General features: G+C 40.0%; 1 protein-coding gene across 9 annotated transcripts, besides 3 other annotated features; it reads right to left on the bottom strand.

The window, feature by feature from the left end:
- Positions 1–636: 636 nt before the first annotated feature.
- Positions 637–21614, bottom strand: PGBD1 (piggyBac transposable element derived 1). Of its 9 annotated transcripts, NR_169855.1 has the most exons (8): positions 21268–21614; positions 18977–19410; positions 17479–17635; positions 16018–16106; positions 6241–6370; positions 5663–5799; positions 5195–5291; positions 637–2462 (listed from the first exon to the last, which is right to left on the bottom strand). NR_169855.1 is itself a non-coding variant. In NM_001184743.2 (7 exons), the coding sequence occupies exons 2-7, from the start codon at positions 19370–19372 to the stop codon at positions 902–904; spliced, it is 2430 nt and encodes an 809-aa protein (NP_001171672.1). In that variant the 5' UTR covers positions 19373–19430; positions 21268–21614; the 3' UTR covers positions 637–901. The 9 variants fall into 9 exon arrangements, 3 of the variants coding, with proteins under 3 accessions (NP_001171672.1, NP_115896.1, NP_001372988.1); NR_169858.1 differs by lacking the exon at positions 5663–5799 and having other exon boundaries at positions 17486–17635; positions 18977–19430; NR_169860.1 differs by lacking the exon at positions 5663–5799 and having other exon boundaries at positions 17486–17635.
- Positions 18908–19115: a silencer, noted in NCBI's record as "fragment chr6:28251848-28252055 (GRCh37/hg19 assembly coordinates)". NCBI's record gives its function as "represses an EF-1alpha promoter that drives an FKBP-Casp9 reporter gene in an ReSE screen in HepG2 liver carcinoma cells {active_cell/tissue: HepG2}" and the evidence as "EXISTENCE:reporter gene assay evidence [ECO:0000049][PMID:32094911]".
- Positions 21066–21242: a silencer, noted in NCBI's record as "fragment chr6:28249721-28249897 (GRCh37/hg19 assembly coordinates)". NCBI's record gives its function as "represses an EF-1alpha promoter that drives an FKBP-Casp9 reporter gene in an ReSE screen in K562 erythroleukemia cells {active_cell/tissue: K562}" and the evidence as "EXISTENCE:reporter gene assay evidence [ECO:0000049][PMID:32094911]".
- Positions 21434–21583: a silencer, noted in NCBI's record as "silent region_17044". NCBI's record gives its function as "represses an Ori minimal core promoter by ATAC-STARR-seq in GM12878 lymphoblastoid cells {active_cell/tissue: GM12878}" and the evidence as "EXISTENCE:reporter gene assay evidence [ECO:0000049][PMID:35858748]".

Genomic DNA, 24286 nt, shown 5'->3' with positions numbered 1-24286 from the left:
AGTCACCATAGGATACACCTATCATTTCAATATTCAAAGGCACTGCTTCACCTCTGGTTTTTCCTTTATAGCACTCTCCTTCAATATCCATGCCTGACCCTTCTCACTTACACACAATCCGATCCAGTTTTACACCAATGCTAAGGTTTTTAGTCTCTTACCACCTATGTTTTGTTTAGATCATTCTTACTTCATAGGCTGTGTCACTAGTTTGAACTATTGAGTCAGCACCATTCTATGGTTTCTGTAACATTGCTTGCATCTTAAAAATGGCATTCTCCAGATAATTTTTTTTAAGAGGTAGGATTTCCTTCTTTAAATGCACAAAATAGCTGGGCATGGTGGCTCACGCCTGTAATCCCAGCACTTTGGGAGGCCAAGGCAGGCAGATCACGAGGTCAGATCGAGACCATCCTGGCCAACATGGTGAAACCCTGTCTCTACTAAAAATACAAAAATTAGCTAGGCATGGCAGCACGTGCCTGTAATCCCAGCTACTTGGGAGGCTGAGGCAGGAGAATCGCTTGAACTAGGGTGTCAGAGGTTGCAGTGAGCCAAGATCGTGCCACTGCACTCCAGCTTGGCCGCAGAGCGAGACTGTGTCTCAAAAAATAAATAAATAAGTGCACAAAGTAGTCAATTGAACAAATACATGATTTCCCATGTCTGACACAAAACTTGACATAGAGAAAGGTACTACAGTTCAACATTCTCACAGACAATTTTTAACATTACTTGTTACAATAGTCTTTGAAACTCTATATAAATGTCTGATTTTTAAAAGTATTATTTAATAACTTCATTACATATATCAGATTTACTTTGGGAGGGTACAACAGCATGTATAATTATTATTTTTCTATGTCTTATTAATGTCTGCACTATGTCCATTTTATGTACCCTAATCTGACAGATGAGCATTGTGTTCCAAGTAGAAATGTGCAACAAATCTCCGAAAATCCAAGGGGTCTAGAGAAGCACCTGGGTTACAGGCTCTGTGTAGTTGCCATGCATTGTTCATGGCTACATCAATCATGTAGCTCACCAAAATTGAGTACCATTTCTTGCTTCTTATCCTCACCCTGTATTTCGAAATAATTTGATCCATTTTAGCTACACCTTCCTTGCATTCATCATACACTTTTACTATGGATGGTTGACTTATCTGAGGGATTTCTTCGTTATCAGCATCACAACAGCTTACCTCATTGACTGGTTCTATGCCCACAGCATTGGAGCACAGACTGATAATGCCATCCCCATACCAACGACACAAAATTATCTCATTGTTTTCTTCTATTCGGAAATCAAAATACCCTCTCTTCATTTTTTTCATATGTTCTACATTCATAAGGGGACATTTTTCGGTCCTGTTCTCACGAATTGTTCCTGTTGCCCTCACCCCCTTCTTTTTCAAGGCTGACAACAATTTGACACTTGTAAAGAAGCTATCAAAACACAGGTGATAGGGATACTGACCTCTCTCTAAAAGAACATCAGCGAAGTTCATCACTAGATTTCCACCTAACCCAAGATCAGGATCCTCATCTACCTTCATAGTTGATTCTTCTTGATAGGGTTCAAACCAAACCAGATAACCCTGTGTGGTTGTACCACACCAAATTTTATAGCCAATTCTAATAGGCTTTCCATTCAGGAATTGGTCACTATCAAAGCATTCACACATTGACTTATCAAAGCAATAGTATTCTTCCAGGGGAGCATACAAGAGGAAATTTTTATTCATTTGTTTTATGAGAGGTCTCAACTTTGTAAACTTATCTTTTTGATCTAGGTGGCCATTATCTGCAAAGTGCAGGTTTGAGAAAATCAATTCAAATCTGTCCCTTCTGATTGCATCTCTAACCAGGTTCTGATCGGTGTCAGAGACTTCCCAATACATTTCCCTTCTAGGATGCCTCATAAATCCACTCAAAAGTAAGACACCAAACACACACCTCATTTCCTGAACTGTGACTTCCAAGCTGACATTTTTCTGAGAAGCATAATTATTGGTTTCATTGACAATTAAGTTGAATGTTTCATCATCAAAAAATAATTCAAAAAGCTCTACTGGGTTCAACTTTTCGCTCTTGAGATTCAAAAGTCCAGAATCCAGTGCTGACCAGCTTGGAAAATTGGGTTTAATGTCTCTTTTGGTCCAACTCTTTTCTGGGAAACATGATACCTTTAACTTCTTTTGAGCAGGCTGGATCTCAGGCTCATTATCTTTTTCCACATCTGAGTCACCAGAGAATGAGAGGCCTTGGAGCAGTTCACTCACTCGAGCTTTGTCTTTTTTTCTCCCTTTTCGGGTAATGTCTCCTGCAGCATATTCCAGGGATGAGATGTGCATGCGGGCCCACAAATCACCTGGGTGACGGTCCTTCAGAGTGTTCAAATGTGCAACTGTCCTTTCAGTAGCAATAGGAGTACTACAAGGAATCTGGGGTGCACACTCTCTGGGAAAGAAAAAAAGAACATGTTATAAAAATCCTCAATCATATTCTCTCACACATGATAAATCTGCTGAAGCTTAAATCTTTTGGGGCTTGGGGTGGGTGTGGGGGGATACTTACTTATTTCTCTTAAGTTTCCATGGGGAGGACTTTGGCTAGATTAAACATTTCTAGCCACTCTCCACCTCTCACTCACTCCTCAGGATGGAACTAACTGTTGAGCCTGGGAGAAATAACTGAGTATCCTTGGTACACTCCTCCCTCTGTCCTCTTTAGGAGCAGGATGCAGACATCCCATGCTCCTTGGTGCCCCAAGTTGCATTGAGAAGACCTATGCAGAGGGACATCTGCTACACTCCTCCTCTGCCAGTACAAGCCTATTTAGCTCTGCCTTTAAGCCGTTTTTATCCAGTCTAACTTCTGTCAGTAAGAAACTGAGGTTTCCAGAACCATCTATTTTACTCCTGCATCCCTGTCAATTGGTTCTGAATCTGAACAAGAAAAAAAGGTTATTATTTACCAGGTCTTCTGACATCTCTCACAGAATTTCTGAACATGGAAGGACTTAGCCCCTGCTAGTTCTACATTCATCTGATGGACATACTACTCTGGGGAAAAACAAATGAAACTCAACTCATTGCACTTGGACTGATTTTTATGGGGTTTACAAGGAAGTAAGCTAAAGTTACAAAGATGAAAAGTTTTGTTTTGTTTTTTTTTTTTTTTGAGACAGAGTCTAGCTCTGTCACCCAGGCTGGAGTGCAGTGGCATGATTTCAGCTCACTGCCACCTCTGCCTCCCAGGTTCAAGCAATTCTCCTGCCTCAGCCTCCCGAGTAGCTGGGACTACAGGCACGTGCCACCATGCCCAACTAATTTTTGTATTTTTAGTAGAGACAGGGTTTCACTGTGTTGGCCAGGCTGGTCTCAAACTCCTGACCTCGTGATCCACTCACCTCGGCCTCCCAAAGTGCTGGGATTACAAGCATGAGCCACTGCACCCAACTGAAAAGTATTATTTTACACAAAGTTTTTAATTTTTAGACATGTGCATTTAATTTATTAGTGTTCTGTTGGTAAACTAGTCAAGTTTTCAAAGACATTTAAGAAGCATGAAGAGTATATTTTAATATAATTTACACTACATACATTTCTTTATGTAAAGTGTTTATCATCCAGGGTGTCTTCAGTGTCTGCATGTATTCAACACATCCATCTTAAAGTTCCCTGACATCCATAACTTCAGTGACATTCCTTGATCACACTGAGTCTTTCTACTGTTGACATCTAAACTCTAAGAACCACAGTGCATTAAGCCCAATATTGTGAGGGAAGGAAATGGGAGTGAGAAATGGGAAAAAAGAGTGAGCTAAGAAAGTGGGGTGGGGGTGAGGGAGGGGGACTAGAAGGAGGGCAGGGGGCTAGACCTTTGATACCATGGTTAAGCTATTGCACCTAACCTGAAATAGCCTACCTTCACACTTTTTGTTATATGAATATCTTTATTATAGGCACTATGAATTACCTGTTAGTTGCCTGATACTAAATGTACCTACAGGCACAATAGCAGATTCCTATTCTCCAGTTGCATAACTCTGCTCTAAGTTACTGAACATCATATCTCTTCCTTTAGTGGAGCCTGGCTCAGTCTTCACTAATCTTAATGCAAAATTTCACTTCTCCTCTTGAGCTTTAAGACATTTCTACTTTAGCTGAGATTTAGCTCCCAGTTTCTCTAAGTTAAACAAATGTCAATAAGGAAAATTCACACCCCCTTCTCAGCTCTTTGGCCAAGTAGCCCACCTTGCTTACTCTCTCTTTTCTCAAGTCTCTGAGGACCAAATGGCCTCACCAGAAGCCAACCCTCTGCTTGTGATTTGTTCCCTCTCTTTCTGCAATCCTGAGAAGCCTCGGAATGTTGGGCATTCCCGAGGCTTCTCCACCTTGTTCCATTTCTTCAGAAGTTTCTTGCTTTGCATAGGAGTATCTGTTACAAGTTCATTCATTCCCACAACCAGCACTTATGAAGCACACACCACTGTCATTCATTTCTACTTCATCAGCTAACTTTCCTTTTGACCTATACCTTGTTCAGGTCTCCCAATGGCGGTTGAAAATACAGGTTAATTTTCCCTTATCTGAAATGCTTGGGGTCAGAAGATTTTTGAATTTTGGATTTTTTTCAGATTTTGGAATATTTGCATTATACCAGTTGGGCATCCCTAACCAAAGATCCAAAATCCAAAATGCTCCAATGAGCATTTCCTTTGAGCATCATGCTGGTGCTCAAACAGCTCAGATTTTGGAACATTTCAGATTTGGAATGCTCAACCTGTACCCTGCTTGTCCTCTTCCACTCTGACATTTCTTTCTTAACTGTCATGGCAGCTTCATCTGTAGCCCTCATTCTTGTTAAATTATCTGCCTTCTAGCTTCTCCACAGCTCCATAAAAATGTAAGGGAGCCCAGGGAAGGGTAATCAAGCAGGACAGACTGGATCAGGATAGGCTTCTTGGAGGAAACTGAGTATCAACTGAAGGTTTTGTATATTTATTGCATATTGAAAATTTTGAATAGGTCACTTTCTTGGCATGGACCTCCTATGATCACAGAAGTGAGTGGCAGTTGTCATATCTTATTCCAGAGAAGCAGGCCTTTGACCAATTGGTTTCTCTGATTCCATTCCAATTTCTTATATCTGCAGGATTTGATTCACTGAGGACCATGGACACTCACCTGTTGGGCTTTCCTGAGGCTTCTCCACTTTGTTCCATTTCTTCAGAAGTTTCTTGCTTTGCTTTAAACAATCTATCTTTAGTTACAATTTCTTCAGCTAAAATATAACATTAATGATTTAAATGTCATCTGTTATGTGAATTTTGAAAAAAAAAAAAAAAAAAAAAAAAAAAAACTTCCAGGGTAGGGAATAGATGTTCCAAATCAAACAAAAAACAAATCATATTGGTGTTTCAAGGGTGCACAGTTTCAGCAATCCTACAAAATGTGGCATGGTATGGGAAAATGATAAGAAAGGTTAATTAAGGCACCAAAGCCCAGCTGCAGAGAGGGCCCAACAGGGCAGAGCACATTTCAAGAAAATTAGGCTGGGTGCTTTGGGAGGCCAAGGTGGAAGGACTGCTTCAGGCCAGGAGTTCAAGACCAGCCTGGGCAACATAGCGAGACTCCGTGTCTACAAAAAATTACCTGGGTGTAGCCCCAGCTTTTTAGAAGGCTGAGGTGGGAGGATCAGTTGAGCCCAGGAGTTTGAGGCTGCAGTGAACTATCATCGTGCCACTATGCTCCAGCATGGGCAACAAAGCGAGACCCCATCTTTAAAAAAACTAAAAAAAATAAAATAAACATGAACTGTCGTGTTCTTAGAGAGTGAAGATGACCTCCTCTGAGGTAAAGACAAGGTCAGACAGAGGTGTTCATGGGGCTTCCAAGTATGAAGGGATATCTGAAAGACAAGTTATATGGAATCCTTGACAGGGAAGAAAAAAGGGGAAAAGGATACAAAGGAGTCACTGAAGGAATCAGGGAACTAGAAGAGATGATCAGAGAAGATAACCACAACAATCAGTAAACTGATTAGTAACAGAAGAAAATGTGATTGGGAAGGATGCAAAGTGATAAGGGCTAGAAGTCTGGAGGCAGAGGCCAGAAGAAGGGAAAGGAAGGGTGTGGGTCTGTAGGAAACGTGGCCTCCCAAGGGCCAAGCCAGGGTGAGTGACAGGAAAATGAGAGTCCAGACAGGGGTCCAGCCAGAGGCCTGGCCTTACTCATCGGACTGAGGCTCATAACTGTCTCCTGAGCTGAGTTCCCACAGAGGTTCCTCCGAGTCAGACTCAGATGTGACCACTTCTCTGCAGCAACGGCCTGGGCTGTTTCTTCCTCAGTCTTCACCAATGTCTAAAAAGACAAAAAAAGAAAATAGCCTCTTTGTTTTCACATGGTAAGGAATCCAGTTGTGAAGGGTGTTGAATACCACGCTGTAGACCGGTAGTCCCAGCCCCTCAGGGCATTTTGTAAACTTGTGGGAACCTTTCTGGTTATAACAATGAAGTCCACCACCACCTCAAGCCGATGCCATTCAGAGGGTGAGGCCAGAGATGCTAGGCATCTTGAAATATGTGGGACAGTCCCACACTACAAAGAATTCTTCCACATCCTGCAGGACTTTTGAGTGTCCTCCTGAACCAAACCTACAATCAGTATAAATCAGCTACACTGAAACATAGGAAACCTGAAGAGTTTTTATAGGATGATACTGAAAAAAAGTCAGTAATTCAAGAAAGTTAGAGAAGGAAGCTTACATCGATTAAAGACATTGTCACAAAAGTTGACTCACTTGGATTGTTCTACACACTATTTTACAGCATTTTCTATGTATTTGGTTGAACAGCACTTCAATATAATATTGCAGTTATAACAAATGCAATTAAACTGACTACAAATACCTAACAGAGTTTTGAGACTCCTTTTAACAGATTTGGAATCTAATGTAAATGCAGAAATCTCACTGAATTTCATCAACAAAGATTGTTTAAAAACATTTCAAAGCTAGTAATGATATGTAGGCTGGAAAAATCATACACTGAATTTATTTATTTGGGGAACTGTCTGAGATTTTCTATCTCTCTGACACTGTCCCAAAAGGCTACCACATGGTTTCATTAGCCTCTTGATTTTCTCTCATTTTCCAATCTACTTTCTCTTTCTTGTTGCCTGAAAAAGGACACAGTGCCAGTCTTTTAGAGAATGAATATCTGTTTTGACAAGGAGGGGGTTTCAAGACAGAAGATGTTTTCTCTTTAACTCATCATCACCCTATTCCAAACTACAGATAATTATTTTGATAATAAAAGGCAAAGCCCACCTCATTTAAACATAGGCCTACCTCAGAGATATTGCAGGTTCAGTTCCAGACCACCACAATAAGGCAAATATCACAATAAAGCAAGTCACAGAAATTTCTTGGCTTCCGAGTGCATGTGAAAGTCATGTTTACACTATACTATGTAGTCTATTAATCGTACATAAGCATTGTGTCTAAAAAAGTATATATCTTAATTTAAAAATACTTTATTGCTAATACATGCTAATAATCATCTGAGCCTTCAGAGAGTTGTGATCTTTTTGCTGGTAGAGGGGCTTCCTGCGATGTTGAACGATGCTGACTAATCAATGTGGTGGTTGCTGAAGGTTTCGGTGGCTGTGGCAGTTGCTTAAAATAAGACAACAGTAATGTTGGCCACCTTGATTGACTCTTCCTTTCACAAAAGATTTCTGTGTAGCATGCAATGTTGTTTGATAGCATTTTACCCAGAGTAGAACTTCTTTCAAAATTGTAGTCAATCATCTCAAACCTGCTGCTGCTTTATCAACTACGTTTATTTAATATTCTAAATCCTTTGTTGTCATTTCAACAATGCTTCACCAGGAGTAGATTCAATCTCAAACCACTTTCTTTTCTCACCCATAAGAAGTAACTTATCTGTTCAAGTTTTGTCATGAGATTGTAGCAATTCAGTCACATCTTCAGGTTCCACTTCTAATACTAGTCCTTTCCACCACATCTGCAGCTACACTATCCACTGAAGTCCTAAACCTCTCAAAGACAATGATGAGTGTTAGAACCAATTTCTTCCAAACTCCTGTTAATGTTGGTATTTTCACCTCCTCCCTTGAATCACAAATGTTAATGGCATCTAGAATGATGAATCCTTTCCAGAAGGTTTTTAATTTACTTTGCCCAGATCCATCACTATCTATGGAATCACTATCTATGGCAGCTATAGCCTTAAAAAATGTATTTCTCAAATAATAAGACTTGAAAGTCAAAATTACTCCTTGATCCATGGGCTACAGAATGTGTATTGTATTGGCAGGCTTGAAAACATTAATTTCCTTGTACCTCTCCTTCAGAGCTCTTGTGTGACTAGGTGCTCTGTGAATAAGCAGTAATATTTTCAAAGAAATCTTTTTTTCTTTTTTGAGTAGTATGTCTCAACAGTAGGCTTAAAATATTCAGTAAACCATGCTGTAAACAGATGTGCTATCATCCAGGCTTTGTTGTTCCATTTCTAGAGTACAGGCAGAGTAGGTTTAGCATAATTCTTATGGACCCTAGGATTTTCAGAATGATAAATGAGCACTGGCTTCAACTTTAAAATCACCAACTGCGTAAGCCCCTAACAAGTCAGGCTGTCCTTTGAAGCTTTGAAGCCAGGCACTGACTTCTCCTCTCTAGCAATCAAAGTCCTAGATGGCATCTTATTTCAATAAAAGGTGGTTTCATCTTCATTGAAAATCTGTTGTTTAGTGTAGCCACCTTCATTAGTGATTTTAGCTAGATCTGGATAACCTGCTGCAGCATCTGCATCAGCACTTGTTGCTGATGCATTTTATAGAGATGGCTTCTTCCTTACACCTCACGAACCAACCTCTGCTAGCTTCCGATTATTCTTCTGTAGCTTCCTCACCTCTCTCAGCCTTCACAGAATTGAAGAGAGTAAGAGATGTGCTCTGGATTAGCCTTTGGCTCAAGGCAATGCTGTGGCTGGTGTGATCTTCTATCCAAACCACTCAAACTTTCTCCATATCAGCAAAAAGCTTTTTGCTTTCTTATCATTCATATGTTCACCAGAGTAGCACTTTTCATTTCCTTCAAGAACATTTCCTTTGCATTCACCACCTGCCTGTTTGGCACAAGAGGCCTCCTAGCTTTTGGCCTATCTCGGCTTTCAACATGCCTTCCTTACTATACTTAATCACTTCTAGCTTTTTATTGAACCTGAGAGGCATGTGACTCTTCCTTTCACTTGAACACATAGAGGTCACTGTAGTAGTAGTATTATAAATGGCTTCATTTCAATATTATTGTGTCTCAGGACATAGCAAGGACCAAGGAAAGGAAAAGAGATGAGGGAACAGCTGGTCAATGGAGGAGTCAGGACACATACAATGTTTATTGATTAGGTCTGACATTTTAAACGGGCATGGTTTGTGGCACACCAAAACAAATTCAATAGTAACATCAAAAATAACTGATCACAGATCACCATGACAGATATAACAATAAAGTTTGAAACATTTTAAGAATTACCAAAATGTGACACAGAGTGTCACGTTTAAGAATTTAAGAATTACCAAAATGTGACACAAAGTGAGCACATGCTGTAGAAAAATGGTGCTGACAGACTTGTTCCACACAGGGTCATCACAAACTTTCAATACTGCAAAGCACAATAAAGTGAAACACAATGAAGGAAGTGTATCTGTAATATCATACCTCCTTATTTTCTCCCTTTATCAGTCCATAATTTGTTTTGTAACTTATATTGCTTTCCTATGGCTCTTGTAACAAAGTACCACAACCTCAATAGTGGAAAACAACAGAATTGTATTATCTCATGGCTCTGGAGGCTAGAAATCCAAAATCAAGATATCAGTAGGGCCATGTTATCTTTGAAAGCTCTATGGGAGGCCTGGCGTGGTGGCTCATGCCTGTAATCCCAGCACTTTGGGAGGCCAAGGTGGGCACATCACTAGGTCAGGAGATCGAGACCATCCTGGCCAACATGGTGAAACCCCATCTCTACTAAAAATACAAAAATTAGCTGGGCGTGATGGCGCTTGCCTGTAATCTCAGCTACTCGGGAGGCTGAGGCAGGAGAATCACTTGAACCAGGGAGCCAGAGGTTGCAGTGAGCTGAGATCGCGCCACTGCACTCCAGCCTGGCAACAGAGCAAGACTGTCTCAAAAAGAAAGAAAAAGAAAAGAAAAGAAAAGAAAAAAAGCTCCATGGGATAATTTTCCTTGCCTCTCTCCAAGTTTTTAGTGTTTGTCAGCAATTCTTGGTGTTCCTCGGCTTGCAGATGTGTTATACAAATCTTTGCCTCAGTGATCACATGGCATTCTCCCTGTGTGTGTTTTCACTTGGGCATTTTTCTTTCTTTTTTTTCAACCCCTTGGTCAATTTGCAAATATGGACTTCTTATAAGAATATGAGTCATTAGATTAAGGGCTCACCACATGAATTTTTTTTTCTGATTTTTGTGAAGAATGTCATTGGTATTTTGATAGTGATTACACTGAATCTGTAAATTGTTTTGGGAAGTATTGTCATTTTAATAATATAAATTCTTCCAATCCATTAGAATGGAATATCTTTCCAGTGTTTTTGTGTCCTCTTCAATTTGTTCCATGAGAGTTTTAGTTTTCCTTATACAGGTCTTTCACTTCTTTAGTAATTAAATGCTAAATTATAAATTATAAATAAAATACTAAAAAATATAAAATGCCTAGGGAATTTAAACACTAAATTTAACTTAATTTGGTGTTTAAATTTTTAGTATTTAAATTCCCTAAGTATTTTATATTTTTTGTAGCTTTTGTAAATGCGATCATTTTCTTGATTTCTATCTCAGATTGTTCACTATTGAAGTATATAAATGCTACTAATTTTTGAGTGTTGATTTTTTATCCTGCAACTTTACTTAGTTTGTTTATCAGCACTAACAGTTTTTTTGGTGTAGTCTTCAGGTTTTTCGAGGTATAAGATTATATCATCTGCGAACAGACTAACCTGACTTTTTGCTATCCGGTTTGGATGCCATTTATTTCCTTCTCTTGCATAATTGCTCTGGCCAGGACTTCGGGTATTATGTTGAACAACAGTGGTGAGATGGGCATTCTTATCTTGTTCCAGTCCTTAGAGAAAAGGCCTTCAGTTTGATGTTAGCTGTAGGTTTGTCATATATGGCCCTTATTTTGAGGTATGTTCCTTTTATACCAATTTTGACAAGGGTTTTTATCAAAAAGCAATGAATTTTATCAAATGCTTTTCAGCATCTATTGAAATAATCATATGGTGTTTGTTCTTGATTATATTAATGTGATATATCACATTTATTGATTTGCATATGTTGAACCATCCTTGCATCCCTGGAGTGAATCCCACTTGATCATGGTGAATGATCTTTTTAATGTGTTGTTGAATTCAGTTTGCTAGTGTTTCATTGAGAATTTTTGCACCTATGCTCATCAGTGATGTTGGTCTGTAGTTTTCTTTTTATTTTGTATCCTAGTCTAGTTTTGGTATCAGGGCAATGCTGGCCTCCTAGAATGAATTTGGAAGTAGTCCCTCCTCTTCAATTTTTTTTTTTTTTTTTGAAGAATTTGAATAGGATTGGTATTAGTTCTTTTTAAATGTTTGGTAGAATTCAGCAGGGAAGCCAACAGGTCCTGGGCTTTTCTTTGATGGAAGACTTTTTATTACAGATTCTATCTCGTTACTTGTTATTGGTTTGCTGAGGTTTTCTATTTTTTCATGGTCCAATCTTGGTAGTTGGCATGCATCTAGGAATTTATCCATTTCTTCCAGGTTTTCAAATTTATTGTCATAGTTGTTCATAAGTCTCTAATGGTTTCTTTGTATTTCTGAGGTCTCAGCTGTTATGTCTTTTTCATTTCTGATTTTATTCATTTGGGTCTTCTCCTTTTTTGTTTGTCCAGCTAAAGACTTGATTTTGTTTATCTTTTAAAAAAAATCCAACTTCTTGTTTCATTGTTCTTCTGGGTTTTTTTTTTTTTTTTTTGGTCTCAATTTCAGTTATTTCTGTTCTAATCTTTATTTGTTTCCTTCTACTAATTTCAGTTTGGTTTGTTCTTGCTTTTCTAGTTCCTTGAGGTGTATCATTAGGTTGTGCATTTGATGTCTTTTTACTTTTCTGATATAGGTGTTTATTGCTATAAATTTCCTTCTTAGTACTGCTTTTGCAGTATCCCACAAATTTTGATATGTCACATTTTCTATTTTCATTAGTTTCAAGACATTTTTACATTTCCTTCTTAATTTCTTCCCTGACAAATTAGTTGTTCAGAAGCATGCTATTTAATTTCCACGCGTTTGTGTAGTTTCCAAGGTTTTTCTTGTTATTGCTTTCTAGTTTTATTCCACTGTGATTAGAAAAGATACTTGATATGATTTATATTTTTTAAAAATTTGTTCAGATTTGTTTGTGGCCTAAGATATGGTCTATTCTTATGTCCCACGTGCTGATGAAAAGAATGTGCATTCTGTAGCAGTTGGGTTACATGTTCAGTAAATATCAGTTAGGCTTATTAGATCTAGCATGTAGTTTAATTCCATCGTTTCTCTGTTGACTTTCTGTCTGGATGATGTGTCAATTACTGAGAGTGGGGTGTTAAAATCTCCTACTATTATTGTATTGCAGTCTAACTCTCCTTTTAGATCTATTAATGTTTTCCTTATATACCTGGGAGCTCTGGTGTTGCATGCATAGGTATTTATAATTGTTATATACAGCCGGGCATGGTGTCTCACGCCTGTAATCCCAGAACTTTGGGAGGTCAAGGTGGGCAGACTGCTTGAGGCCAGAAGTTCAAGCCAGCCTGGGCAACATGGCAAAAACCCAGGTCTACAAAAAATACAAAAAATTACCCAGGCATGGTGGCACACACCTGTGGTCCCAGCTACTTGGGAGGCTGAGGTGGAAGGATCACTTGAACTCGGGAGGCAGAGGTTGCAGTGAGCTGAGATGATACCACTGCACTCCAGCCAGAGTGAAAGAGTGAGACCCTATCTCAAACAACAACAACAAAAAACCTCTGTGGCTAAGTGATTTTCTCTTATAGTATGCCTTCCTTTGTTGCTATTTTTAGTGAATTTATTATAGGTTTTTGCATTGTAGTTATCATGAGGCTTACAAAGAAGACCTTCAGATATAATAAGTTATTTTAAAGAGATAACAACTTATCTTAGATCCCAAATACAAGAGTAGAAACAAAGGCAGAAACACACAGAAAAAAATTATATGCTTTAATTCCATTCCTCTAGATTTTGACTTTTCGTTGTCTCAATTTATATCTTTATATTACCTATCTCTTAACAGGTTGCTAGCCATTATTGTTTGTCTTGTTTTGTTTTAAAGATATGGTCTCACTCTGTCTCATGTCTCCAGGTATAGCATCAGGATCTTACCATGTTGCCTGGGCTGGTCTCAAACTCCTTGTCTCAAGTGATCCTCCCACTTCAGCCTCCCAAAGAACTGGGTTTACAGGCATGAGCCACTGTGTCCAGTCCTATTATTGTTTTTGATAGGTATGTCTTGGGGCTTCACAGTTGTGAGTATACTGTATGTCACTATTACAGTAATAAAGTATTCTGGGTTTGTCCATGTACTTAATTTTATCAGTGACTTTTATGCCTTCAAAAGTTTTCTTTATGCACATTAGTCTTCTTTCCTTTTAGACTGAAGAATTCTTTAGCATTTCTTGTAAGATGTGTCTGGTGGTGGTGTACTCTCTCAGCTTGTTTGTTTGGGAAAGACTTTCTCCTTCATATATGAAAGATAATTCTGCTGGATACAATATTCTTGAATGTCAGTTTTTTTCTTGGAGTACTTTGAAAATGTCATTCCACTTTCTCCTGGCCTGTATGATTGCCATTGAGAAGTCTATTGCCAGACAAGTTGGAGCTCCTTATTTGTTTCTTGTCTCTTGCTGCTTTTCAGATCCTCTCTTTTTCCTGGACAGTTGAGAGTTTGATTATTATATGCCTTGGAGTAGTCTTATTTGGGATGATTCTGTTCAGTGTTCTCAGATCTTCCTGTACCTGGACATTTATATCTTTCACAAGTTTTGTGAAGATTTTTGTTATTATTTCTCTATTTTTAAAATTTATTTTTAATTTATTTTATTTTAATTTTTTTGAGATGGAGTCTTGCTCTTGTTGCCCAGGCTGGAGTGTAATGGCATGATCTCGGCTCACTGCAACCTCCATCTCCCAGGTTCAAGCGATTCTCCTGCCTCAGCCTCCCGAGTAGCTGGCATTGCAGGTGCCTGCCACACCTGGCTCCTTTTTTTTGTATTTTTAGTAGAGACGGGGTTTTGCCAGGTAGGCCAGGCTGGTCTCGAACTCCTGACCTCGTGATCCACCCACCTCAGCCTCCCAAAGTGTGGGATTACAGGCATGAGCCACCACGCCTGGCCTATTCTTTTTTTTTAAATAGATACAGGGTCTTGCTGTGTTGCTCAGGCTGGTCTCAAACTCCTGGCCTCAAGCAATCCTCCTGCCATGGCCTCCCAAAGTTCTGGGATTACAGTTGAGAGCCACTGCACCCGGCCTATTGTTATTTCTTTGAATAAGCTTTCTATTCTTGCTCTTGCTCAGCTCCAAGAGCAGACTGTTTAAAGGATGGCTGCCTCTAATGTGTGGTCTCCTTGCACACACTTGATTATCCATCATTCCACTTTCTGCCATGAGCTAAAGCAGCATGAGATCCTAACCAGATAGGCTGATGATCTTGGACTTCCCAGGTTGTAGAACTTTGAGCTAAATAAACCTCTTTTTAAAATAAATTACCCAGTCTCAGGAATTCTGTTATTAGCAACACAAAATGGACTAAGACAGAGCCTGTTTCCAAATCAGGTCACATTCACAGGTACGTGGGGTTAGGATTTTCATATATCTTTTGGAGGGACATAATTCAATTTACAACATCTAAGCCTTACTTCAATTAAGGGCCCCACTTTCTCTGTCTAGTCTTGTATTATCTGACTCAATACTAGTTTCATTTCACTGTCCACCTATACCATTGCTCTTTGATTTTCTTGGGCTTCTGGTCTTCTTATTCCTCCTTAATTTGAACTTACTAATTATATTTCAGTGCAAACACCTGACTACGTTGTTATTTCCCTAGTTATAATCACATCAAGCACTTGCATTTTGAAACACTACTTTTAAAATAAATAACTTTTTTGTTTCTACATTATACCATTAAATTACATTTAAGGGAATTATGTTGATTTTCAGAATGTGCATGAGTAGGTTTTATTTTCTAGATACTTCTTATCAGGAAGTATTTGTTAATAACAGGAGGCACTGGGTCTGATAGAATTAAAAATTAATTAGAAGCCATAGAAGAGGACTGAGCAAGTGTCTTGAGGAAACTGATGTGGCAGCAGTATGCAAGAGGACTTAAATGAGAGAGTTATTTTTTTTTTGTAAATAAATGACTAGGAAAATGAATGAACCACTAATAAGAAAAAAAACCAGAGTCCATTTTGTGAAGAAGATGTTAAGTATTACCTTAGATATATAGAATTTCCATTATTATCACCAAGCATTAATTGCATACATGCTGAATATAAAGTAGTGTGAGAAAGGGCCCTTATTCTAAAGCTGGGGAGATAAACCAGAGACTTCAAAGGAGAAAATATCAGTTACTCAACATCAAATGAGTGGAGCACTTTCTGAAACCAGGAGCCTCACTCCACCCCTCACTCCCATGCCTTGAGATTTGGACGTGCCTCCTGAACAATGAAATGAGGCAATGGCATATAATCAATACAAGCTCCTCGAATGATGCAACACACTTTGTGATATTCTGTGACAAGGTGAAGGCAGAGGGACTATGCCACCTGAATGGCTCTCACGATGATGAGTGTGAGCCAAGAGAAGGGCAAGGAACATGGAATGAGGGAGAAAGACCACTACTGATATTCCTACAAGCTTGGGCATCCTACTTACCTGGGACCTGACTGGGTTAAACACAGGCACTACAGCCTTGTCTCTGGGGTTTTTTTCCTGGAGATGAGCTGATCCGTGGGGAACAGGCCCTGCAGAGAGAGAGGGCAAGAGTCCTAAATGAGACATGATGGCCTTTAGGGTACCCTTTTTGGAGACCCAGCCTTTTCCCCCAAATGTTATGTTTGTTAAACATTCAAGAACTAAGACGTAGATTTTACAGTGTGAGAAAGAGCATCACAACTGCTTTCATTCTGTCAGAAATTCTAAAATTCTACAACTTTAGGGTCTCTCACCCAAAAAATGGAGTGGGATTTATGAACTCATAAGGTGCTTTACAGTCATGCACTTTCACATAAAGAAAAAATAAAAATCATAGACAAAAATAAAGGGGAGGAAGAAGCTGGTGATAAAGGAAGGATCAAGGAGAGAACACAGAGGCAAAAGAAAGGATGTAGAGAGTAGAGAGATGAGACTGAGGGGAAACAGGAAAGCAGAAGAAAGGAAGATGGAGAGAGAGACAGGAAAATAAAGATATTTAAAAAAATAGAGAAGAGATGTTAGCCATGAACTAGAAAAACTGTTAGGAGGTACTGATCCCAAAGAACCAACAATAATCAAAATGGTGATGATGACTGCACAAGGCCAGCCACTGTGCTGTTACTTTAAAAGATTATTTCCAATCCTCAAAATAATCAAGAAGGTCCAAATTATTGCCTCCAAAATCCTAGGCACATTCAGAAGAATCACAGCTGAGTGCAGAGTACACACAGAGATCAAACAGATAATTGTTGATTAACTGAATAACCTATTAAATGACTTGCCTAGGTCACAAAGTTGGCAGTTGGCAGATGGCAGAGTACAAAATTATCAAATGAAGAGCACATGTGGTAATTCTAACCCAAAAATATAAAACAGAACATCACTTTTCTTTGCTCTGCTTTTCTTTGCTTCCATAATGGATCACTATGGAATGTTTTTATTGCTGTTGTTGCATTTCTAGAAGGAATAAAGTTTGCTGGAAAAAAACAGCCTTGCCCCGATTCACTTTTACTATTATATGTACTTGTCCACAACACATACATACTAAATAAACCAGCTTAAAATGCACAGTGTAAAATAAAGCAGGTCTTTACAAGTTTGTTCAGATACAGGGTTAGACAAAAAAATAAAACTTGATGTTGGTCACAGGGTATAAACTTGCAGTTATAAGATGAATAAGCTCTGAAGACCTACGTACAGAATGCTGACTATAGTTAGTAATAATAATATATTGTATACTTGAAATTTCATGAGAGTAGATCTTAGGAATTCTTACCACAGACACATAAAAGGTAACTGTGAGATATGTAAGTTAGCTTGTGGTAATCATTTCACAATGTATACAAACTTGAGGTCAAGAAGGCTGTGCAAGTGTCAGTGGCCAGCTCCCAGCGTCCTCACTAAACTCACTCGAGCACTCACCACTCACTTCTTGGGGGTTCCCTTGAGGACGCTGTGGAGGTTCACACTTCAGGGTGGTTATCCCAGGCAGGAGCTGGAGGCTCTGACACTCCAAAGAGACTCCTTGATATTCTGCCACCATTGGGTGCATGTCCTGTCCCTGAATATAGACAGAGGCCTGGAAACAAAAGATTTATTTTGAAAGGGCATGCATATATGGACTGCATGCTAAGAGCCTGGCACTGTTCTACATGCTGGGGATACAGCAGCAAACAAGGCAGAAAAGACAGGCAAAGGATCCCAGCCCAGAAAAACAAAAACAACAAACAAGTGGATGTTTAAACTAGCTGGTGAAAATTTAATGAGGAACAGGATATGTACACCACCTCAAAATGTCTCCCACAGATTACTTAGTAATTACAAAGGGGAAAATGGTAACTTTCTAGTGGAGAAAATTGACAGGTACCACCATAACCTCATCAGTAATGGGACAAATCATCACTACGCACCTCCTGAAGTAACGCACTGAGAACACAACATTACCTCTGTGGTATTCTAGCCAAAATGTGCAGCCTGAATCATGAGAAAATATAGGACAAACTCAAATTGAGGGATAGTCTCCAAAAAAACTAGCTGTACTCTTCAAAAATAACAACGTCATGACAAAGACAGCAGCTACTCCAGATTCACAGACTAGAGATATGGCAACTAAGTGCAATATGTGATGCTGGCTTGTATCCTGAATCACAGGAAAATTATCATAAAGAACATTATTAGGATAACATGGCAAAATATGAATAAGGACTAAGGTTATATGATAGTATCGTAAGTTTAATTTCCCTAAACTTGATTTTTGTATTCTTGTGATACAAGAGAATATCCTCACTCTTCAGAAATACACACCGAATAGCCAGGTGCAGTGGCTCATGCCTGTAATCCCAACACTTTGGGAGGCCAAGGCAGCATGATCACTTGAGGCCAGGAGTTCAAGATCAGCCTGGGCAATATAGTGAGACCCCACCCCCGCTACAAAAAATTAAAAATAAATTAGCCAGGCATGGTGGCATGCACCTGTAGTCCCATCTACTCAGGAGCCTGAGGTGGGAGGATTGCTTGAGCCTTCCACCATTGCAGTTCAAGGCTGCAATGATGCTATGATCGTACCACTGCACTCCAGCCTGGTCAACAGTGAGGTAAAGGGATATAGTGTTTGCAACTGACTCTCAAATAGATTCAGGAAAAAAAAATACTGCATATGTGTATGTATGTGTGTGTATACATATACATATGCATCTTGGGGGGGGGGAATGCACTTCCTTGTACGAGTGTGTACACAACAATGGGACTTCATCAAACAAATGTTAACAACTGGCAAATTTGGATGAAGAGTTTTACGGGAGTTCTCTATTCTTCTAATACTTCTATAAATTAGGAGTTATTTCAAAATAAAACGTTAAAAATAAACCGATACATGTCCCCCTTTTCTTCTCCCACATCACCACACACATTCTCTTCCCACCTGTTGTCCTGTGTCTCCACTTCCTGTCTCTAGATTCTCCAGCACTGTCACTGCCTCCTCTCCACTCTCCAGAGGATATGTCTTCACACAGGGCTGGAGCTCCTTGGGCAGGATGGTCAGGAACTGCTCCAGCACCAGCAGTTCCATTATCTGTTCCTTGGTGTGCATCTCCGGTCTCAGCCATTGATGACAAAGTTCTCGGAGTTGGGCCAGAGCTTCCTGGGGTCCGTGAGCCTCCTGGTAGCAGAAGTGCCGAAAGCGCAGGCGGCAAATCTCCTGAGTGTGGGAGCTGCCCTCCTGTGAGTTGCACACCTGCTCCCAGGTGGGATCTTCCTCCTTCACTTTCACAAGGCCATCTTCATTTTCAGGAGCAGGGCCTGGCAAAGCTTCATACATGTTGAGCTTAGAGGCTAAAGCTTCACTTAGCTTGGGGTCTATATTCAGAAATAGAGATCTGAGGCATAAGAATTTATCAGCAACATGCAAATTATAAGAGCTTCAAAACTGTATGTAACCTACTTACATTTTTGTCCCCACTGTAGGTAATGCTCAAAAGCTGAGCCTGCTTGCTTCTATTATCAGTGAAATGAATCAGAAGTATATTTTGAACTAGTACTAAAGGGCCTGAGTCCAAAGGTAAGGGATGTAGGACATGAGGGAAGAAGTGTTAGCAATAAGAAAGCTCGAGTAGCTTGCACTTCAGCTGGGGAGAGGGGATAATTTACCCATTGAGGAGGCAGATGGCTGCCTTCATGGACAAATAATACAGTCTCAAAGGTCTTCTATATCTGTGTAACTCTCATTGAATATTCCACTTTAAATGTAGGTGTAACAGAATGTTTCCAAAGTCTCCCATTCTCAAATACCTTTTGTGATGAGATTTTGCCACTGTTGTCATTCAAGGGGTGGAGTCTCTTTTTCCTTCCCTTGAATCTGTTCTGGCCTATGACTTGCTTTGACCAGTGGAATACAGCAGAAATGACATTGTAAGAGAGAGTGCTGCTGTAGCTCTTGGCTCACTGCCATAAGACTGCCATGCTGTAAGGAAGCCCAAGCTAGCTATACAGAGGTCATGTGGATGAGAACCAAAATGCCCAAGTTAAAGCCCAGCCAGGCCTAGTGCTCAAATAATTCACCACCTGAATGCAGCTCTATTAGTAACTCCAGGTGAGACCAGTAGAACCGCCTAGTCAACCCGCATAATCCTGAGGAACAATAAGCTGAGCTTGTTTTCAGCCACTAAGTTTAGAGTTTTATTTTTGATGCAACAATACATAACTGAAAAACAGTAGACATGCATCAAGTTCTTTTATTCCCTCTTTTCATTTTTTCCTTTGTGATCTCCTTAGTCACACTTTCAATATATCTCTGTTCCAAGAAGACTCAAATCTTTGGCACCAGCTTGCTTTTTGCACTCCAAACCCACATCTTGAAATGCCAGCAGCTGTGGGCCTCTACTGCACTATAATTTCAACAGATCTCAAACTGAAATCAGAGTCCCTCAAAGCTGCGTTCACTCGGTATTTCTCCATTTCTACTGGCATCACCATCATCTTCCACGCATTCAGTCTTTTAAACAGCCTCTATACACAATCAGTGAGTCAATTCTTAAAAACGCCTCTTGCAGCCATTCTTTCCTTCTTATAATTTTACTATTATTTTCATTCACTGTTACAATAATGTTCTGTTACGGTATTCCTGCCCAACTCCCCGCTTCTATGGTCACTGGATTAATATTCCCTAAAGCACAGTTGTGACCATATTCAACATACCTCACACACACATAAACACACACAAAGTTTTCATTAAACTCGTTGAAGTAAATTCAAACTCCCCAGGATCTAATCTTTACTGGGTTTTGCTGATTTGTTTGTCACTCAATCAACATTTGTGGAGCATCTCATTATTTTCCAGGCATAAAGTTAACTCTGGAATAAAAGACTTGGTTCCTGCTTTCAAGAAAGCCATGGTCTTCCCAAATTTCTTATGTCACTGCCATGCTAAGTACTCAATTTTTTTCCACCCACTCTATACAGTCAGGACCGCCCTTCTAAGGGTAAATTCCCAAGGCCCAGCGTAAATGTTCTATTGTAAAACCTTCCCTGGCAACCCCTAACCCTAACATATAGACAGGAAAAGTAAGCCACACAGGTTGAGATGGGGTATTCCCATAGAAAACTGCACCCAACCCTCATCTCCATCTCGTATTACAGATCACCAACCCCATCCCCACCCGGGTTCTTGAGGACAGGAGTTTATCTCTGCATAGACTCTACATGCCCGGCACGTACCTGGTATTCAAGAAATACTGATGGGCTTCTTCACGAATGCACGTAAAGCACCTGAGATGCCAGCAGCCAGCACCCTCAGGCGCGCCCCTGAATGTATTTTTCTGAGATTACACCCAGCATCTAGCACCGCGCCAGGCACTGAATACCGGCGTGTCTAATTGTTGGTTAATGGACCAAAAGTTCAGGAACGCGCACAACAAAGACGTAGCTGACCTCGTGAAAGGCTCCCGAGGGAGCTCAGAGGCCCGGTGCTCCCCTGTCGGGAGCGCCGGTTTCCCCAGAGCCCGGGCCGCTGGGCTGGCGGGTCTGGCGGGCGCTGCCGGCGCCTCCAGCAGCTGGGCGGGTACAAAAGCTTCTCCCTGCGCCGCGCCCGCAGCGGAGTGGCGGAGTCTGGCGGGTTCCCTGCCTCTCTAGGAGCACGGCCGCTCGTCTCTCTGGTGAGCCGGGAGGACCCCCGCTGCCACCTCCTGCCCCGCCCAGGTCACTCTCCGCCGCCGGACCCCAGGCCCATTCGGACGGTGCAAGCACGCCCCAAATTTATGTACATCATTTCGATTGAAAACCAACACAGTGGTAAATGTCTGTCTTCGGGGTCATCACTGGCTGGTAGGAGAGACAGATCAATAAAAAGACCATTATAGTAAGCTGTACAAATTATTTTCTTTAAGTATACATAATATATGTACAATAAAAAAGTCAAGTTGCAAAAGGACCATAAAACGAAAAGTGTCCCCTCTTTAGAGTTAACCATTGTATTTTGTTCATATTTATCTAGGACACTACCTGCCACACAGTAGCACTTAATGAACATTTTGTTTAGTGAATAAGTATTTATACATTTTAAAACACTTATGGTATCATAATGTAATTTTGCACCTTAGCTCTTTTCGGTTAAGACAACTTGGAGATCTTCACAGATCAGCTTATTCTTTAACAGCTAAGTAATACTGTATGAGTGTTCCATAATTTACTTAACTATCCTATTGATGCATACTTAGGTTATATTTTTTCTTTAAAAGCAATGCTAGAGGGAACACCATTCAATACCTTTACATTCTTTTAAGAATATATTTCTAGGATAAATGCCACATATTAGAACTGTTCAGCCAAAGGACACGTGCATTTAAAATGCTGATATGCAAGTTCCCTATTTGATTTTTAAGGGCACTTCTGTTTAAGAGTAAAAGGAGACTTTAGTAGAAAAATTAGTAAAGGATATGAACATTACTACACACAAGATAAGTGACAAATTAACATGTGAAAAGATGTTCAATAGTAAAAATATAAAAAACTCTTTAAAAAACAGACCCATTATTTATTCATTTACCTACTGAGTTTTGGCAATTATGAATAAAGCCGCTATAAACATCTGTGTGCAAACTTCTGTGTAGACACTGGTTTTCAGCTCCTTTGGGTAAACACTAAGGAGGGCGATTGCTGTATCACATGGTAAGAGTATGTTTAATTTTGTACGAAACTACCTAACTGTCATCCAAAGTGGCTGTATCATTTTGCATTCCCACCAGCAATGAATGAGAGCTCCTGTTGTTCCACATCCATACCAGAATTTGATGTGTCAGTGTTCTGGATTTTGGTCATTCTAATAGATGTGTAGTGGCATCTCACAGTTGTTTTAATTTGCAATTTCCCTGATGGGATATGGTGTGGAGCATCTTTTCATATGCTTATTTTCCATCTGTATATCTTCTTTAATGAGGTGTCTGTCAAGGTCTTTGGCTCATGTTTGAATCGGGTTGTTTCCTTATTTCTGAGTTTTAAGAGTTCTTTCTGTATTTTGGATAACAGTCCTTTAACAGATATTTCTTTTGCTGTGGTATATGCAGACAATGGAATATTATTCAGTGCTAAAAAGAAATAAGCTGGCCAGACACGGTGGCTCAAGCCTGTGATCCCAGCACTTTGGGAGGCTGAGGCAGGTGGATCACTTTGAGCTCAGGAGCTGGAGACTAGCCTGGGCAACACAGTGAAACCCCATCTCTACTAAAAATACAAAAAATTAGCCGGCCGTGGTGGTGTGCGCCTGTGGTCCCAGCTACTCAGAAGGCTGAGGCTGGAGAATTGCTTAAACCCAGGAAGCAAAGGTTGTAGTGAGCCAAGATCGTACCACAGCACTCCAGCCTGGCCAACAGAGTGAGACCTTATGTCAAAAAAAAAAAAGAAAAAAAAAAGAAATGAGCTATCAAGGCATGAAAAGATATTGAGAAAATTTAAAAGCATATTACAAAGTGAAAGAATCCTGTCTGAAAAGCTACATACTGTATGATTTCAACTACAAGTTGAGTATCCCTTATCTGAAATGCTTGGGGCCAGAAGTGTTTCCAATTTCGGATTTTGGAATATATACATACATTATGAAATATCTTAGGGATGAGGCCCAAGTCTAAACATGAAATTCATTTGTTTCATATATACCTTACTCACATAGAGCTAATTTTATACAGTTTAAATACTTTCGTGCATGAAACATAGTCTTTTTTTTTGAGATTGAGTCTTGCTCTGTTGCCCAGACTGGAGTGCAGTGGCACAATGTTGGCTCACCACAACCTCCGCCTCCTGGGTTCAAGCGATTCTCGTGCCTCAGCCTCCCAAGTAGCTGGAACTACAGGTGCATGCTACCACACCCGGCTAATTTTTATATTTTTAGCAAAGACGGGGTTTCGCCATGTTGGCCAGGCTGGTCTCAAACGCCTGACCTCAGGTGATCCACCCACCTTGGCCTCCCAAAGTGCTGGGATTACAGGCTTGAGCCACTGCACCCAGCCGAAACAAAGTATTGACTGGATTTTGTCTATGACCTGTCACGAGGTCAGGTATGAAATTTTTCACTTGTAGCATCATGTTGGTGCTGAAGTTTCACATTTTAATGCATTTTGGATTTTGGGTTTTCAGATTAGCTGTACTCAACCTGTATACATGACATCCTGGAAAAGGCAAAACTATAAAGACTGTAGAAAGGTCAGTGGTTGCTAGGGGCTGGAAAAAGGGAGGGATGAATAAT

Source organism: Homo sapiens, chromosome 6 (genome assembly GCF_000001405.40).
Source record: "Homo sapiens chromosome 6, GRCh38.p14 Primary Assembly".
Classification (NCBI taxonomy): Eukaryota; Metazoa; Chordata; class Mammalia; order Primates; family Hominidae; genus Homo; species Homo sapiens.
Note: the sequence above shows the minus strand (reverse complement) of the source record. Positions and strands in the feature narration are given on the sequence as shown.

Excerpts from the sequence above, each read along its gene's own strand:
- PGBD1 (NM_001184743.2), bottom strand. The coding sequence starts at position 19,372 with ATGTATGAAGCTTTGCCAGGCCCTGCTCCTGAAAATGAAGATGGCCTT. Across the intron at positions 5,292-6,240 it reads TATGAGCCTCAGTCCGATGA|CTGAAGAAATTGTAACTAAA; the intron begins GTAAGGCCAGGC and ends GTTATATTTTAG. Across the intron at positions 2,463-5,194 it reads GCCTCAGGAAAGCCCAACAG|AGAGTGTGCACCCCAGATTC; the intron begins GTGAGTGTCCAT and ends TTTCTTTCCCAG.